We start from the raw sequence: 18325 nt of genomic DNA on the forward strand, positions 1-18325 counted from the left end.
CTCTGCTCTAAGTGTGCTATAGGTGGCTTCAGAACTGAGCTGTTTTGTTTCAAAGCCTTGGCTCATGTGGTCTTTGCCAGGAGCGCATGTCCCCCAGGGCCCAGCCTGGTGGCCTCAGATAAATGTCAGGGATATTTGTCACCATTCAGAGCCAGTCCTGCCCTTCCCATCCCACAGGTGGAAGCTCTGTGGGCCTCATCTTCCACCTCCCGTGGCTGGCAATGAGCTCTTCCTCCTCTCACCTCTGCCTACCTCCCTTTCAGTGTACTGGAGATGGGAGCTGCGGGCTCCTTGCCTTTTCTGTGAAGGATGCTGAGTCCAGTTCAGGGTTCATGGAGAAAATCGGCCCTCAATGCAGAGCCTTATCCTAGACCAAGGGGTGCAGAGGGAGAGGGGACAGGCTTTTGTACTTACGGATGCCACAGCTAATGAGGGAGACTGGAAATCAACAGAGTAGATACGCAGAAAAGAAGCTCTAGCTTTGTGGTTTCAGCAGACTCCCTGTGATTTCTGAAACTCACTGTGCCATATCCCATCCTAGGCCTCTGCCCTCCTCATGTGTTGTTTTCTCCATCCTGGTCTCTTCCCTGCTCTTCGCATCCCCCCTCCCAGACCTGGCTAACTCAAGTCAAACATTTCATCCTTAGGGAGGTCTTCCCTCCCTGCTGCACCCTGAACCATCCTGTTCTTTTCCTTCACAGTCTGTAATTATGGCATCAAGACACCTGAATATCTGATTAGTGTCTCTTAATGTCCCAGACTGTAAGCTCTATGAAGGCAGGGACTGTATATATCCCAGGGCCTGGAAAATTACCTGCCATGCAGTAGACACTCAGTAGTATTCACTGAATAAAGTATAAATGTATAGTGGCATTCGGTATGTGTACATGCTTTGACCGGTCTTGGGTATGGGAACAACATAGATCTTTTGGCCGCAAAAGCACTTTACTCACCTGCAAAGTAATTCTACTTCCATGATCTCATTGAATCCTATTAACAACCCAGTAAGGAAGATGATACAAATGTCATTTCCCACCTTACAGCAGAGGAAATGGAAGCCCCAAGAGGTTATGTGATGGGTCCAAGGTCACGCAGCCCTCTACTTCCAATCTGCCGATTTTTCTCCTCTGCCAGAAGGACTGACTTCTTCAGGGAAAGCTTTGGGAATGGGGTTGATCTGGACCTGCACTCTGCAGGTCAGAGGGCTGTGGATTAATACCAGCAAGCAGGCATGGGAGGCCATCCTATTGGGGAAAGATGAGGATGCCATCAGAGTGTCTGTGTACAAGGGCTGGAAGGAAGCACTGAATGGGGTGGAGAGATGAAAGGCAGTTCCCATTTACTGACTGCATTATACTTGAGGTCTCTTGAAGCAACCTTTCCAGGGAGCTATTGTCTGCAGTTTTACAGTTGTGGAAATAAAGTTCTCAGAGATTAAGCAGCCAGCCCAAGGATGCATAGTGACAACTGGAATTGGAAGCCAGGGATGTCTTATCATGTCTCTGGGGAGGGGCCATTGTTTAGAGGTGCATTAGGGGTCTGAAATCTGTGTGAAATGTAGAGAGGAAACAAGACTTGTAATTCCTCATTCCTCTTGCTCCTTATTGCCTGAGCATTTGGCATGACTGTCTGTAGTCCTGTGGCCTGGTTCCTACCATGTACCCACAGTTGTAGTGCTCAGGGAACGTCCTCCCCTCAAGTTGGACCCGGGCTGGGTGGTCAGTGCCGCCACTGCTCTTCAGTTTATTTAGGTGAGTCAGACCAGGTCCAGCTCCCAGAGTGAATGCTCATTACCCCTGGCTAACCTGCTGTATCCTAACTCATCACAGACTCCTGGGAGCATCTCCTCATGGGAATTCCTAAAGGCCAGGGACACCTGGGCTGATCTTTTGGCCAAAGGGTACTCCCAGATGCATTCTTCTGTTGCTGGCCCCCTTATTCAGCAAGATGTGCAGGTGACCTGCTTGCATTTAGCTTGACTTATTCTCCAACATTATTATGATCATCATAATCACATTCCTACATTTTCTCAAGTGCCAACTGCATGCTAGGTTCTGGGACATGCAGGGAAGGTGGGTGTAGTGAGTGATGGGTGAGAACAAGTTCCCGGAGCCAACGCCCAGTTCCTCCATTTCCCCGCTGAGTGACCTTGGCAAGTTACACAACCTCTCCGCCTTTGAGTTCCAGGTCTGCACGTGGGGAGGATGGCAGTTAGGATGGCAGTATCTGCTTCGCAGGGTTCTCCTGAGGAGTAAATGAGTCTGAAGTAGTACTTTGCATATAGTAAATATTCAATAAAGATTATATTATCATAGAGTTCAGTTCTTACAACTGCAGAATTCCCAGAGCTTCTAAGAACCTTAGAGATCATCTAGTCTAATTCCCTCATTTTACAGAATGAGAGACTGCAGCTCAGAGAGTTGACTCCCAGAGCTGGTGAGCACCCAGGTTCCTGATTCCTGGGATAGTCTTGCATCCTGGCATCTCCCCATTTGTTGTCAGGGAGAGAGGACACCTAGAAAGTGCTGCCCAACTGCATTAGGCCACAAGGGTTGATTCTCCCTCAAGGAGGCCACAGAGGCTGGAGCAGACTCACTCCCCTGTCATGGCCACCCCCTACCCCTGCACACTCCATCCAGGCTGCTGGCTGCCACTTGGAGTTTCTCCCAGCCAGTGGGGGAGTCAGGACAGCAGAGAAGTTCACATCCATTTTTTTTTTTGAGGAGCCTGGAGCATCAGGAAGAGTAATCAAGATCTTGTTGCCCACAGCGGGGAAAAAAGCTGTCATTAATCTGACTGCCCCTCTGATCCCCTCTACCCTTCCTGCCGCCCCACAGAGACTGGTGGCTATCAGCCTCCTCTCTGACCCACCTCAGAAAATCACAATTAATGATGTAGTAGCCCTGTGAGGATGAGAGAGACCAGCGGAGGGACTGCTGACAAGTCAGGAGAGGAGAGGCTATTTGCACAACTGGGCCGATGGAGTCCAGACAGCATGTGCACAGCCAGAATACCATGAGCTGTCTGCAGGTGGTGCCTGTCTGTGCTTATGAACTGGCTGCTGCTCATGAATCAGCAAACATTTATTAAACTTCTAGTCAGTATGGACATAATAGCAGGTGTGGCAGGTGATACATGCCCCAAAGAGATGTTCCCCTGCTTTAAAAAATGCAAAGTGAAATAGCCATTCATTCATTCATTCATGCATGCATGCATTTGACAGTATTTATGTGTAGCTGCTGCATGCCAGGCACTGTCCAAGGTGCTGAAGGTGAATAAGCATGTTAAAGCTCCTGCCCTCATGGGGCTTGTATTCAAAGTACAAGCATGGAACCAGGGGGCCAGTCTCTTTCCATTGAGAGAGATGTTAGAGGATCTTCTAGGTTGAGAAAATGGATCCAGTCTTGCAGTTGTAAAAAAGTGGAAATGAGTTTCCCCTTATGGGAAAAGAGGAGACACTGATTTTTTGGTGTTAAGGTAAGGACACATCCTGGGCAGGTAAATGGTTAAGCAGAGGTGAGAACTTGGAAGCCTCAGCTCTGAGTGCGGTGCTCACAGTGCATCTTTGAGGGCTTTGGGGGACAGCATGTGAATAAATGGTGCCCCATGAGCTGCGGACAGTGAAGGCTGGAGGGTCAAAGGAGGAGAGCCTGCATGGGTAGAGAAATCGTACCTAGATTGTAAATTCCTCCTCTTCAGTGACACCAAATACCACTCACATGTAAATACTTGCAGTTGACAGAGTGTTTCCACATATGTTCTCTGATTGGACTCTTTTTTTATTCCAGCAGATACTTTCTGAGTGCCTACTATGTGCCAGCCTGTGCTAGGCACTGAGGACACAGGTGGAAAAGCCCGAATTGCTCCCTGCTCTCCTGGCGCTCATCACCCCGGAGGTAGGCACTGCCATTCCCATATTACTGGTGGAGGAAGAGGCAGGCTCTGAGGGGGGCAGCTGCTCAAGAGCATTCATTGTAAGGCCCAGAGCCAGATGGAGCCCAGCTTCTGTCTAGTCTGGGCCTTCCCTTCCCTCTGCACTCAGGATCAGCAAGGCTCCTACCTGTTGGGTGTCGAGAACAGGGTTGTCAAATAGATGGGGAATTTCTGTTTTTGAACTGTCTGTCTTCCAAACTACCTAAAGTACGGGAATGAGGCCCAGCTCTGTCTAGGTGGGGACTGTCAGAGACCCTCTGAGGTTGGAAGCTGTACTGACATACCTGCTTTCAACCTAAATTCTGCCAACACTGCTGAATTCAACTGTAGTCAAAGCAGGGGCCTGGGATTTGTGATTGCATATGGTTAGACACATACTTCAATTTGAACCCAGCACTGCTGTTTTTGTTGCGTGAGCTTGGATAAGTTACTGAGCCTTTCTGAGCCTCAGCTTCCTCATTTGTGAAATGGAGATGCAATGCCATCTTACAGGATGAGTGCGTGGCCATGAAGAGTTAGTATTTATTATTATTATCATTATTATTATTAGTTGAGACAGTATCTCGCTCTGTTGCCCAGGGTGAAGTGCAGTGGTGTGATCTCTGCCCACTGCGACCTCTGTCTGCCGGTTCAAGTGATTCTCCTGCCTCAGCCTCCCGAGTAGCTGGGATTATAGGTGCCTGCCATCACACCCGGCTAACTTTTGTATTTTTAGTAGTGACCGGGTTTCACCATGTTGGCCAGGCTGGTCTCAAACTCCTGACCTCACGTGATCTGCCCGCCTTGGCCTCCCAAAGTGCTGGGATTACAGGTGTTAGCCACCACACCTGGCCAGTATTTATTATTGAGTGCTTACTCTGAGCAGCAGTGCATAGCATCTTATCATGCAATCCTTATAGCAATTCCACGAGGGGACTATTAACATCCCCATATTACGAATGAAGAAGTCAAGGTTTAGAGATGTTAGCTGATTTGCCCAAGGTGTGCAGCTAGTACATGGCAGTGTAGGACTCAGCCCCATGTTCTTACCTGTGGCAGCCAGACCAAGCCCCAGGCACAGAATCAGAGGGCGGCACACATTTGTTTCCCTCCCCTTCTCGGCATATATTACTGTGATTCCCCTTGGCCTGCATCTGCTGCATTATGTCTGCTTAGGTTGTTTGTTTTAACTACAGTGAATATACAAAATGCACACACCAAACTGGGAATTTATTTCATATTGGCCCCGTCTGTTTATTTATTCATTCAGCCGATATTATTGGAGCACCTACTATGTGCCAGATAGGGTGCTGGGTACTTGGTGCTCTCCAGACAGCATCGTTGTCATAGGTAGGATGTGTGTCCCAGTGAGGCATGTTAGGGTATGGTGGCAGCAGATGGGGAGGGGATCACAGAAGCCTCGAGGGGAGCTGATGAGCTGAACCTGGAAAACACAGCTTGCAGTCCATCAGGGGATGGGACTGCATTCCAAGCAGAAGCACATGCAGGGGGCAGAGGGCACAGTGAAAACACACAACTTTTGTAGAGGAGTGGGGCTTTGGCTCTGCTGGGGCATCAGGTGCCGTAGGGTACAGGGTAGGGACAGGTGAGCAAAGCCAGATCATGGGAGGGTTTATCCATTAGATTGAGGGGATTGCCCTGATCTCCTGTGCAATGGAGAGCTCCCTAAGACTTCAGGGCAGGAGTGTGTCATTATCAAGTTTGTATTTCTGTAAGAAGCCCCTGGCTGCTCTATGGAGAACCAAATGGAGAGAGAAAGACCAGAGGATGGGGGCCCAATGAAGATGGTATTGCAGAGATCCAGGTTGTTGCTGACAAATGTCTGTGCTTGGACAGCCGGTGGTGGTGGAGAGAAAGGTGTGGTATTTAGGAGGCAGCGCTGTCAGGATCTGGGGACTTATTAAATGTGGGGGTGTGGGAACAGAGAAATCTAGGGTAACTCTCAGCCTTGTGGCTTGGGTGACTGGTGGATTGTGGTGTTACCTACTAAGAAGAGGAAGTAGGAGGAGGAGCAGGTGGCGGGCTTGGTGGAGACTACGCCTTCTTTTTAGGACAAGGTGTTTGTGGCATGCTGTGGGATCCCCAGGTAGAGATGTCACCAGGCAGATGTGCGGTCATAAGTCTGGGCTTGAGCTGTAGATGTCAATGCCACAGCATGCAGGTGGAGGAGAATATACCATGGGCAGGGGAGAAACCCCCCATGGAGGGTAATGGTCGTGGAAAGAGCAACCTGGTGCTCTAACTTCAGGATAAGTTCTTTTTTCGCCCCTGAATTATTAAAATATTTTCTGTTAATAAAGGATGCATTATTAGGTCCTAAGACTAGATTTATCTGAATGTTAAGCTGAAAAGAAGACCCCAAATGTCTTTGTGTTTTTTGGTGAAGAATCTGAAAGCTTCATCTTTCTGCTCTGTAGCAGTTAAGATAGAAAAGCTAGTGGAGTGAGAGACCTGGTTAGCCTTGGCTCTACCTCCAGACAGTTATGCGACCTTCAGCTAGTCATGTATCTTTTCTTGGGCACAGCTTCCTCATCTGTAATAGAGCTTGTTCTGCGGTTTAACTATGATAAAGACTGTGCAAAGATTTTTGCAAGCCACTGAGCCTTACAGACATGCAACATGGTGGCTCTTTTCATTCTTGTAAGATTTAAGAGGAAATTATTTCTCATCACTGTGTCTAGGGGGTCACAGAGCTGAGGCCCAAGAGCAGCCCAGGACCTGAGCCACTGTCATGCTTAAATGTAGTCTCGGCTGGGTGCAGTGGCTCACGCCTGTAATCCCAGCACTTTGGGAGGCCGAGGCGGGTGGATCACCTGAGGTCAGGAGTTCGAGACCAGCCTGGTCATCATGGTGAAGTCCCATCTCCACTAAAAAATTAGCCAGGCTTGGTGGTGGGCATCTGTAATCCCAGCTACCTGGGAGGCTGAGGCAGGAGAATTGTTTGAACCTGGGAGGTGGAGGTTGCAGTGAGCCAAGATCGCGCCACTGCACTCCAGCCTGAGCGACAGAGCAAGACTCTGTCTCAAAAATAAATGTAGTCTCCAGGATCCACCAGTCTTTGGGGCCATGAGCAGCTTCACTCAGTTCCTCAGGCCTGCACGAACTGCGTGTAGTTCTGTCATCAAATAAAATTTACACAGGGTAATCTGACACCTATTTAGCAGTCTGCTTAATAATTATGGTGCAGCATGCTGATCAGGCATAAATGGAAGGCATTTGAGGTAAGTGATTGTATTTAGTAGTACTTTTATATAGCCTAACTGGATTATTACAGTTTTTTTCTCCTTGTTCCACTCAACAAATATTTATCCACTCAACAAATATTTATTAAGGCCGTATAATATACCAGGCACTGTTCTAGGCCCTGGGGATATAGTCCAAACAAGATTCCTGTCCTTGCCCCACCTCTATTGAGCTTAAATTCTAGTAGGGAGACAGAAAATCACTGAATAATCAACTTTATCCATAATAAGTAAGAATGTCTAGCTTCTCCTAAGACTGTGTTTGCTTTAATCTATCCCTGCACCAACACCCATGAATTAAAGAACAAAGATTCTGGGCCTGATTTGCCAACAGCGGAGTTGCCTTCACCCCCATCCTTTACTCTTTATCTTCCTCTGTCTTCCTCTAGCAGGTGATTGCTTGAGGCCTTCCATTCATTGAACAAATATGTGCTGTGCACCTATTATGTATAAATAGACCCTGGGGATGCAACAGGAACCTGGACACAGTCCTTGCCCTTAAGGAGCACATACTGATCCCAGGCCTAGACGCATAAAGGCAACAGCAGAGGCAGGAAAAGTGCTGCTCTCAGAGCCATGCCTGGGTGCTGATGGCTCACAGAGAGAGGCCCCATTCTGGCCATGGCAGGGGTGAGCAGAGGGGTGTTCTTTGGGCAGAAGGGATGCCCTGTGCACAGGAAGTGACAAGGCTCTGCGTGTGGATGAAATGTTGAGTGTGTTGGGGGAGGCGGAGTGTCCCTGAACAAGATTTTTTTCTGAGGCATAACACACATAAGGAAAAGTGCACACCCCATAAGTTTACAGCTCAGTGATCTTTCACAAAGTGAACACACCTCTGCAAGCAACACTCAGCGTGAAAACCAGAGAACATCACCAGCACTGGGGAGTCCCCTCGTGTCCCCTGCCATTCTCTACCCTAACCATGAAACTGGACTTCCAACAGCACAGAGTGGTTTGGTCTATTTTTACACTTTATATAGACAGAATTATTCTGTCTCTAGAATGTGTAATCTTTTGTAATCTTTTTACACTTTATATAGACAGAATTATTCTGTCTCTAGAATGTGTAATCTTTTGTACCAGTCTTTTTTTTTGCTAAATCTTATATTTATGAGATTCATCCTTGCTGTTGCATGTGGTTGTCGATTATTCATTTTCATTTCTGTATAACATTCCACTGTGTGCATATATAATGTATTTCTCCATCGTGCTGCTGGACATTTGGGTGGTTTCCAGTTTGGGGAAACGAAACCACCAGAGTGCTGCTATAGACATTCTAGTGCATGTCTTTGCTAATCATATACATGCATTTCTGCTTGATAAATACCTAGGAATAGAGTTAGTGGGTCATTAGGCTAGATGTAAAGCTCTAGTATACCAGTTTTCCAAAGTACTTATTTCAGTTTACACACCTACTACCACTGCATAAGAGTTCCAATTTGTCCACATCCTTGCTAACACTTAATGTTGTCTTTTTTTAAAATCATTATAGTGAGTGTACAGTAGTTTAAAATTTCATTTTCCTGATGCTTAATGAGGCTGAACACCTTTTCAGATGTTTGTAAGCCATTTGGATATCTTCTTTAGTAAAGTGTCTGTTCAAGCCTTTGCCCATTTTCCTATTGGATTGTCTGTCTAGGGGTTGGAGGACGAAACTTTTTTTTTTTTTTTTTTTTTTTTTTTTTTTTTTTTTTTGAGACGGAGTCTCGCTCTGTCCCCCAGGCTGCAGTGCAGTGGCACGATCTCGGCTCACTGCAAGCTCCACCTCCCCGGTTCACGCCATTCTCCTGCCTCAGCCTCCCGAGCAGCTGGGACTATAGGCGCCTGCCACCACACCTGGCTAATTTTTTGTATTTTTAGTAGAGATGGGGTTTCACCCTGTTAGCCAGGATGGTCTTGATCTTCTGACTTCGTGATCCACCTGCCTTGGCCTCCCAAAGTGCTGGGATTACAGGCGTGAGTCTGTATTAAAATTAAACATTTTAATACTACTCTCCCAATCCAGGCACCTGGGATTAGCATATCCAGGTGCTCATCAGCCGCACCCTCACCCCAGTGAAGCCAGCAGAGCTGGCTGTCGGCAGAATCTGGGTCTCAGTGGGGGCCAAGGCACGTGCTGCCTTGGGGAGAGGCAGCTCCCTGCAAGGTTCTGGATTTGACATCAGAGGCCCACCCACCTCAGGAAGGAGGAGAGGGATTGGTAGAGGTTGGGGGTGGGGCTGGTTTTCAGCGGTAGTAGAGCAGATGTGGAAAGCAGCTGATAACCTGGGAGGTGTGTGTCTGCTCTCCATATTTGCTAGGAATGGACCGCTCCCATCTGGGCCAGGGAGGACCTGACATTTATGTAGCACCTCATTTAGGCCAGACCCTGAGCATGGTGGCTTCTCCGATGTTACCTTGATTCTTCTTTAGTTCAACTCCACCAGGAGGGGTTGTTATAGTACTTTTACATGTGAGGACACTGAGCCGAGACACAGAGGGGACCTTGTGAAGGCCACACAACTGGCAAGTGGAAGAGCTGGCCTGAACCCAGTTTCCTCTCACACCTCTCCTCAGTGTGCAGTGCCTGTGCTGCGTTTGGGGAAATGGAGTAACCCTCCCAACTCTCCCATCCCTTCCTCTTCTGCTCACCCATGGCTCCAATTCCTTAAGGGCAGATGAGGGTTTTGTTTGTTTGAGACAAAGGCTCGCTCTGTCGTCCAGGCTGGAGTGCAATGGCGAATAGCGCAACCTCGGCTCACTGCAACCTCTGCCTCCTGTGTTCAAGTCTGTGACACAGGGTCCCGAGTAGCTGGAATTACAGGCATGCGCCACCATGCCCACCTAATTTTTGTATTTTTAGTAGAGACGGGGTTTTGCCATGTTGGCCAGGCTGGTCTCAAACTCCTGGCCTCAAGTGATCCACCCACTTTGGCTTCCCAAAGTGCTGGGATTACAGGCGTGAGCCACTGTGCCTGGCTGCGAGCAGATGAGGTTCTTCATTTCTAATGACACGCCATGAATCATCCAACCACAGTTACAGCAACCTGCCCCATGTCGGTCACAGAGCTGAAGTTAGAACCTGAGCCTTCTTTGAGCCCGGCATGTAAGGAGGAAAGACAAAGGGGCCTCTCCGGCTCCTGGGTGTCACTGGGATGGTGGGGCAGCTGCCTAGCTGGAGCCTGGGACTCACGTGCCCCCAACCCCCTCTCTCGCAGAGTTATGTCATGCCCAGGCCAGCAGGGGGCTCCATGAGGATTCATAGAAGATGCCCCGCGTCTCGGCGCCTTTGGTGCTGCTTCCTGCGTGGCTCGTGATGGTCGCCTGCAGCCCGCACTCCTTGAGGATCGGTAAGTGTGGCCCAGCTTGGGGCAGTGCCCCCACCCACTATCCCAGGTGTCCACAAGGGACATGAGAGTGCTGCACAGGACTTGGGGAAGCTGCCCAGCCCGTGCACTGTGCCCTCCCTGAGTGTGGCTGGGGTGAACATGCAGGTGGTGGTGGTGGAGGCAGCTGACAGGTGACCACTCCGATCTGGTCAACCTGCTGAGCTCCCCGGCCACTAGAATAAAGATGCTGATAACTCCCTAGTGCAGTCAATGTAGGTTCAGCCTAGCAGGTTAAGAGGCAGCTGTCGGGGAAAAAGGAGGGTGAGGATGGCCATGGGGACTCCAAATCTAGGGCTGGAGATGGGAGAAGAGGTCCCTTCTTTCCTGTGATCAGTCCAAGAAGGCTTCCTGGAGAGAGTGCTATGTCCACAACTTGGAAGAAGCCAGGAGTCTGCTGGCGTGGCCTGGCTGCTTGGAAGGGCCCTTGACATTGGGTCTGCTTGCTGTGGCCTGGCTCTGAGAGGGAGGGCAGGGTCATGTGAGTCTCTCCCTTGCCTTGTTGCTGTGGGACGCCCACTTTAGGTGTGGGCAGGCGGGCTTCCACCTGAGCCCTCAGCATCCCATCCCTGGAGGGGCGGGTCTGGGAAGTCAGGTGCCTCCTCCCTGCTGGGACTGAACAAGACTTGTCAACTGCAGGTTGAGGCTCTCTAGATCCTGGTTCCTGGGGACACAGCCAGCCACAGGGACAAGGACACAGTTCAGTCCGGCAGGCGCAGTGTGGTCATCTGATGGCCCAGCAACAGAGAACCCATGGAATTAGGACAGATGTGGGGTGTCGGGGATCAGGGGTGTCTATGTGTACATCGGGGGATGGGGATTAGTGTGGACAGGTGGGTGGGGCACAGCAGTGACAAACCCAGAAAGGTAGGTTGATGGCCACAAGACGACCCATCCAACAGCAGGGCCCCAAGGGTAGAGTTAAGTGACAGCCCTAGAGGAACTCAAATACCAGGCAGGTTACCCCAACGGATAACCACATGAGGCCCCTCTTCCCACACTGGGGGTGGGGTTGGGGGTGGGAGCAAAGGCAGGAATCTAGATCTTAAACCTGAGCCTGAAAGGGTTAGAGGCTGACTTAGAGCAAAGATGGCACGATGCTGAATCTCAGGGAGCTGACTTAAAGCTCCCAAATTCCTCCAATTGCATTCAGGTCGGTGTGCTGGTGATGGTCAGGAGGCCATGGTGTGGGCAGAGGTGGGCGAGCAGCCAAAACCTGGCTAGGCCAGGGGTCACAGGCCGGAAGCCCAGCCTGCAGGTCTGTGAGCTGCTTCGTTTTACCTTGTGGGCACAGTTTTTCATGCAAATGCAGAGGAGCTGATTGGAATCAGAAATGTGGACAGGTGACCCAGTTCTCCCCCTCACCCTGCCCTCGACACACTGCTCTGCATGCTTAAAAAAAAAGAAATTAAAAAACAAAATTTTCCCTCCCTCTTCTCCGTTCATTTTTACAGAAACTTCAAAACCTAATTTAATTCTGCTTAGCAGCAATGCAAAACGGTTCATATCCTTAAGATGTTTAATTTATAAGATGCCTATAGTTTTTCAGCGTTTGCTGCAAGGTCTTCTCCCTCTCTAAATGAGTGAATAAAGTGGCAACCCATCAATTTCCATTTGTCGCTAATGGGAAGCGGAAAGGGATTGAGCCAGAATCAGTAGCACCTCATGGCCTCGCCTCTCCCGACACTTGTGCTCTGGGAGGGAAGCAGAAAGCGGAGCTGACAGGTCCCTCTTTTGGCTGCCACAACAGAGGGCTTCAAAGGCACCCCTCGTGCTCCCAAACCCATACTCTGAACAATGCTTGTTCAGCTCTGTCAAGACTGCTGGCCCTCAGTTTTGGTTCATGCTAGGCCACTTCCAGCCGCTTTCCAGCCAGGGGCCCTGCTGGCTGGCAAGGTCAAACCGGGCCTAATCTCCTGCAGAGGCCAGGAAGCAGAGTTAAGCCAACAGAAAGGGAAGAAAAGAAAAACCCAAACAGCAGTGCCAGGACCCGTTCTTCCTGTCTCCTTGGTTAGCCTGAGTGCCAGGAGCTTTTTAAAATCTCCCAATCCTTATGGATGGAAAGTTGCTAATTACATGGACTCCAGAGGGGATGTGGAGTAGCGCAGGGATGGGAAGAGAAGTGGGTCAAGAAAACACAAGTAGCTGTGCTGAGCAGCAGGCAGCCTTGCATGCAGATGGGCTGGGCTGGCGTTAACTGTGCTGGGGTCTCTGGGGTCCTTGAGAGGCTTATGGGAAGGGAAGGGGCTGCTGCTCCTCTCGCCTTCCCAGGGGTCACTTTTCCTTGCATTTGAGTTTTTCTGGGGTTTTCCCCAACCCCAGCCTCAGAATGGGTGGCTCTCTGAATGGGGCTGCATGAAGAGACCAGGGATCTGAGAGATAAATCGCCCTGTTTGCTCCATCCTCAGCCCCACTTGTCTGCTGGTGACAATATGGATGTTTGGAAAGAGGTGGCCGAACCCATTACCCTGCCTTGTGATGGCTGTTTTTCATTCAAGTGAGGTACAGGGCAGGAGATACAGCCAAATTGTCTATTACAGTGTTTGGTGTTTACCCCTCGAATGAGGTTTTGGGTAAAAGAAAGGGATTTTATTTATGGCTGTGAGGCTGGCTGCATAAATTCCCCAAACTCTCACACATATGTCAACCCCTTCCATCATCTATCTTCTGAAAATGTGTTTGGATTTTGCTTCAGTCCCTCTGGGTCCTCTGAGTGATAACTGTGGAGCCACAAGTTAATAAATGCCCTGAGGAGACCCCACCCCATCTTTGCACCCCCTTCATTACTTAAAGAGACCAGAGATCATTGTCATTCTTAGATCCGGAAGGGACTGTAAGGATTCGTTATCTAACCTGCTCATCTTGCAAATGAGGAAACAGGGTCACAGCAGGCAGTGGTTTGGCCAAGGTCACCTGACAAGTAGGGGCCTGGCTGGTGGCAGCTGACACTGGTGCTGGTATCCTTGACTCCTCTTCCAGTGCTCTCTTCTCCATGCACCCATGGGCTCCCTTAGCTGCTGAGAAGCAGAATCACCTTCAATAGTATGTGAAGGTTATATTCTCCTACAGTTTCCTCCATTCCTGTTCAGAAAACATTTCAGACATTAGCAAATGTGTTACCCTTGCCCCTAACACCTTGAGACTCATTAAGTATTTGTTAACTGAATGAACGCTAGGCTCCAAGCCTACCTCTTGTTACTCCTTCCTTGGCTCTGTATTTTACCTACACTAAACCACTCCCTGTGAGCCAAATATACCAGGAGGATTTACTCCCAGCTTTACCCATTCCCCTGCTCTCCCTATAGTGCTCTTCCTCCCGTTTCATCTTCTCTGCCTGCAAAACAAATCCAGCTCCTCCTTCTACTCCTCTTCTTTTTCTTCGTCTTCCTCCTCCATCACCATCAGCTTAAATGGCTCTTCCTCTGCAAAGTCCTTTCCCGTTATCATCCTGTCCGTAAGAGGGAGAATTCATCTTTTTCCTACCATTCCCCCATTCCCCCAGCACATAACATCTGTTCCAGCACTTGCCGTGTTATATTCTAAAGATTATGGCATTTTCCCACTAGACTCTGAACTCCATGGGAGAGTGATCCCCAACAGAAGGGCCCAACACATGATGCAAAGAAGTATATGGGTGCAGTTTAATGAATGTGATGGATAGATGAATCCATGGTTCTTGCAAGACTGGGTTTTCCAATAACATGTTTGGTATCATTGTTTTAAATGGCACTGTCTTACCTATGCATAAAGAGGTAAACTTATTGGAGAAAGTAGAAGAGAAAGGAGAAAGAGGAAAAGGAGAAAATGTCCATCTGTCTGTCTTACTTAAAAGAGAATAGGAATGGGCTGAAGATCCTGGTTGGGTTCTAATGAAAGCTTTGGCAGTAATAATAAACTCAATGACACAATTATTCATTCATTAATTAACTCAACAAATATTTATTGAATGCTATGTGCCAAGCACTGAGGATGCAGTGCTACCAATAATAATCAAAATAATAACTCCCATTCTTTGCCTGGCACTGGGCTAAGTATTCCCCATATCTCACCCAGTTTCATTGGACCAAACAATCCCCTGTTACAGATGAAGCAATGGAGGCTCAGAGGGTTTAAATAACGAACCTAAGGTCACACAGCTAGTGAAATTTGAACCTGTCTCCAAAGCTGTCTCTTCCTGCTCTTCTAGAGCTGATGACCCCCTGGAAACATTTGGGATATCCCATTATCACAGCCATCACATTAAATACATTGTGTTCTGCTGGTAAGGAGTTGAAAGATGGAATCATCATGGCTAATATAGTTTCCTGCTCTTTTATGGACACTTTTTACCTCAAAAGCATTTCTTAAAGGGCACAAAGTCTAGTTGAGAGATGAGGAAACTGAGGCATGGGGATTTCAGGGCTCAGTCGAGGTGGCAAGGGAAGTTCTGCTCAGCATGGGCATATTAGACACATCAGCAGGTTATTGCAGCAATTGAATCTCTCTTGTTTAAGGTTTCCCTGTGTGGTAAAGCAGCAAGAGCTTGGATTTATTTTATACTCTGTCTTACGAGGACCCTCCAAGCACTTTATAACTGTAATTTTTTACTTAGTTGGTTTCCCCCCAATGAGCTCCAATTCTGTACGGAGAATGTTCAACATAGAACATTGAAATGTTATAAAGATAAAGATAATAGGAGAATTGGGGGAGACAAGGGAAAAGGATAAAAAACACCAGTTTCTTATCCTGTTATGCTGTGTATTAAATACATCTAATCCACCGAGATTCAAATATACCAGCTGAATTCTTTGCCTTGTAGAGGATTCACCATGGGTTTGTTTGAGCAGTGGGCTCCTCTGATCATGTTAGCACATGATTTGATTTATGAAATTTTGATCAGCATGCAACTTTTCATCTCATTTCCAAATTGAGTCACCCATATAGACAATCAATTGGTCTTTCACATTAGTGACAAATAGAAATTGATGACTTTCTCCTTCATCTGTCACCTAGGGGGGGAATATAGAAGGATTTCTAGGACATAAATCTCTCCCCTGGTAAGCACCTTAGGGAGGCTGTGTCTTTCTTATTCATGTCTGTATTTCCAGAGTCTAGCACTGTGCTTGGCCCACAGTAGTGGGCTTAGTAAATGTTTGCTAAATGAATTCACTGTGGCAAGATCTGAATTTTGAGCTGACCCGTCAGTTTGCAAACTTCTCTTCCCCCAGGAATTGGTCAAGGTTTAAAAATGCCAACCAATGTTATTGTCAGCCCATAAAATACATAATTAGGAGAGTAAATATTTTACCAAAAGAAAAAAAAGTCTGCGCGTGTGTCTGCACACACTTGTGCTTATGTAAGGCTATCTCTCCTCTCCTCCTTGCTCCTCCCCTGCCACCAACACATTTTGGGGTGACTGAGGGAGGTGTGGCTGTAGTGAGAGAGATATTCAGGCTGGCATGCTGTGGTGTCATCCGTCTTCCCTTGGTCTTCAGGAGCCAAGGGTGGTTTTGGGATGTTTATTCTCTCTTTTGCCCTTTCCAAAACCCATTGTGCACTGTAACTTCATCTGTAATCTCTTCTACTGAGAGGTTAGAGATGAATTAGGCCTAGATATTCCGTTTTACAGATAAGAAATCCCGGGGTCCCAAAAGGTGAAAGGAATTGGTGAATGCCCTTTTGGTGGTGCCAGGACTCCTGACTCCCAACCGCCTGGGTGACATTTGTGCCATGGTTTGTGGTGTATAGCGTGTTCTTACACACATGTTAATTCACTTTCCCCGGTGACCTGCAAGGCAGGTTGAAGTGAGCACATCTTGTGGAGAGGAGCCTGAGTCTCCCAGGTTTGTGACTTCCCCAAGCTTGCATAGAGGTGAGTGGTCAGGTCAGGAAGAGTGGTCACATCAAAGGGGATGGACCGATAAGCATCTGAGGACAGCGTTGGGACAGGGTCCTGAATAGCCTGCTGGCAGTGTGTTCTCGATGAGTGAGATCTGAATGCCACCAGGGGCCAGTGTGGCGACGCCTGGGGGCTCACAAAACGAGGCAGAGCTAAAGAGAAAAAGCACATAGGTAATGGCAGTGAGCGTTAGTAAGTGTTGCTTCTCTATTTTGTTTTCTTAAGCATATTGTGATCCATCATTGGTAAGGATCCCACTGGTAGAAGTGTCAGACATGAAGGGATGGGGCTATTGTTCCATATCTGAAGTCTTAGGTAACAGAGCTGATTTCCATATCATTTTGGTATGTGGCTGCCTGTGTTCATTTGTGCTAGAATGGCCTGAGTATCTCCAGGTTTTCAACGAATATTATGGGCTGATGGTATCTATTCAGTTGGATCGAGCAGCGTGGCCAGTGGACCTGACTGGCAGTATTGGATTCAACAGGGATGAACACCATATTGAAAGAGTGATGGTGATATTTCATGAGAATTTCAAAAGCCTGTCTCCAGCTCTGTGAAGTCATTTACAAAACGTCTTGGGATGTGGAGTGAGTCACTAGCAAGCTCTATTTTGGTGGGGGGTGTTGGGAGTGGAAATTATGGAAAGAGGTTTTGATTCCTTGTAAAAAAGTGTTTTCCAGGCAGATGGAATGGGCTTTTTTGGATACCAAGGTCCCCATACCCGGAGGGGGCCACACAGGTCGGACAGGGATTTCAGCCTCAAATGTGGTATTGGACCTGTTACCTCTAAGACCCCCTTCAGTCTGGGATTTGGTGATACAATCTTTTCACCTTTGGTCTCTTCTCATCCTCTCATAGGGAGACATTTCATTATCATTGTGTCCTCATTAATAACCATTAACAAGAGCTTAGAATTGAGGCAACCAGCTGCCTAATTTAAGCCATGACCCCATTTGGCTCCAATCCTTTGGATAAGCCAGGTAGGACATAAGAACCCTGCTAATTCTTTTGTTCTGTTGATGTAGACCTGGGCTGTCTGGGTGCTTCCTTCCTCCCTGTGGCCACTGATGGCAGAGCTGGAGAAGCACAGGCAATGTGGAAGCTGCTGCTAGACCTCAGCCGAGTGCCTGCGTGGGCGGGACGCGTGCGTGTGCATCGCTGGAGCCAGCACATCCCACTCACAGCCTCGCGGCTCGTCAGCAGGCAAGACAGTGGTCACACTTAGCTCTCATTAGTCTGGATAAACAGGCACACGTTCCCTATCAGCTTTACGGGGGCTGGGGCTCGGCTCGGTGGGTAGTGTGGGCAGCAGGGTGCTGCAGACAGCTGTCAGGCTGTCCCATTGGTGTGTGTTTCCTCCCATTGAGCTGAGATATGGTACCTGGGCAGCTCGTGGTGGACCCAGCCAGCGAGGCCCATTAAACCCACACTGATGAGGGGTGTTGTGGAGAGGACACTGACCAGTCAGGTGCAGATGTGCACGCAGTGGCAAACACAGTCCTATAGCTGGGCAGACAGTGCCACTGTGCTGGACTCGAGAGGCACTGTGACTCAGTCTAATGCTCAACCCTGACTGGAGGTCTCTGGAATTGAGACTCTATCTATCTGAGTATGACCCCTTTAGAAAAGGTTCATCGTGTCTGTAGTCCCAGCTACTTGGGAGGCTGAGAGGGAAGAATCACTTGAGTCCAGGTGTTTGAGGCTGCAGTGAGCTATGGTAGCACCACTGCCCTCCATCCTGGGTGACAGAGTGAGACCCTGTCTCATAGATGGATAGATAGATGGATAGATAGATAGATAGATAGATAGATAGATAGATAGATAGATAGATAAGTAGGTAGATAAGTACATAGGTAGGTAGATAGAGAGGTAGGTAGGTAGGTAAGCAGACAGACAGAGAAAGA

General features: G+C 48.4%; 1 protein-coding gene across 22 annotated transcripts in view, besides 3 other annotated features; it reads left to right on the forward strand.

Annotated features, from left to right (window-relative positions):
- The window catches only part of GRIK4 (glutamate ionotropic receptor kainate type subunit 4), a 477159-nt gene that overhangs the window by 138149 nt on the left and 320685 nt on the right, over positions 1-18325 (forward strand). For 12 of the 22 annotated variants that reach the window (NM_014619.5, NM_001440404.1, NM_001440403.1 and 9 more), the window contains 2 exons: positions 3789-3896; positions 10373-10504. In NM_014619.5, the coding sequence (NP_055434.2) occupies positions 10423-10504 (82 nt within the window). In that variant the 5' untranslated portion in view covers positions 3789-3896; positions 10373-10422. Of the gene's footprint in view, positions 1-3788; positions 3897-10372; positions 10505-18325 lie in introns of those variants that run through there. The other 10 variants (NM_001440405.1, NM_001440407.1, NM_001440408.1 and 7 more) reach the window with 2 other exon arrangements.
- Positions 10361-10861: an enhancer, noted in NCBI's record as "H3K4me1 hESC enhancer chr11:120530966-120531466 (GRCh37/hg19 assembly coordinates)". NCBI's record gives its function as "activates a minimal SCP1, AML or CMV promoter by ChIP-STARR-seq in primed H9 embryonic stem cells {active_cell/tissue: H9 hESC(primed)}" and the evidence as "EXISTENCE:reporter gene assay evidence [ECO:0000049][PMID:30033119]".
- Positions 17085-17595: an enhancer, noted in NCBI's record as "H3K27ac-H3K4me1 hESC enhancer chr11:120537690-120538200 (GRCh37/hg19 assembly coordinates)". NCBI's record gives its function as "activates a minimal SCP1, AML or CMV promoter by ChIP-STARR-seq in primed H9 embryonic stem cells {active_cell/tissue: H9 hESC(primed)}" and the evidence as "EXISTENCE:reporter gene assay evidence [ECO:0000049][PMID:30033119]".
- Positions 17596-18105: an enhancer, noted in NCBI's record as "H3K27ac-H3K4me1 hESC enhancer chr11:120538201-120538710 (GRCh37/hg19 assembly coordinates)". NCBI's record gives its function as "activates a minimal SCP1, AML or CMV promoter by ChIP-STARR-seq in primed H9 embryonic stem cells {active_cell/tissue: H9 hESC(primed)}" and the evidence as "EXISTENCE:reporter gene assay evidence [ECO:0000049][PMID:30033119]".

The sequence above is a fragment of the Homo sapiens genome, chromosome 11 (assembly GCF_000001405.40).
Source record: "Homo sapiens chromosome 11, GRCh38.p14 Primary Assembly".
In the NCBI taxonomy this organism is placed as follows: domain Eukaryota; kingdom Metazoa; phylum Chordata; class Mammalia; order Primates; family Hominidae; genus Homo; species Homo sapiens.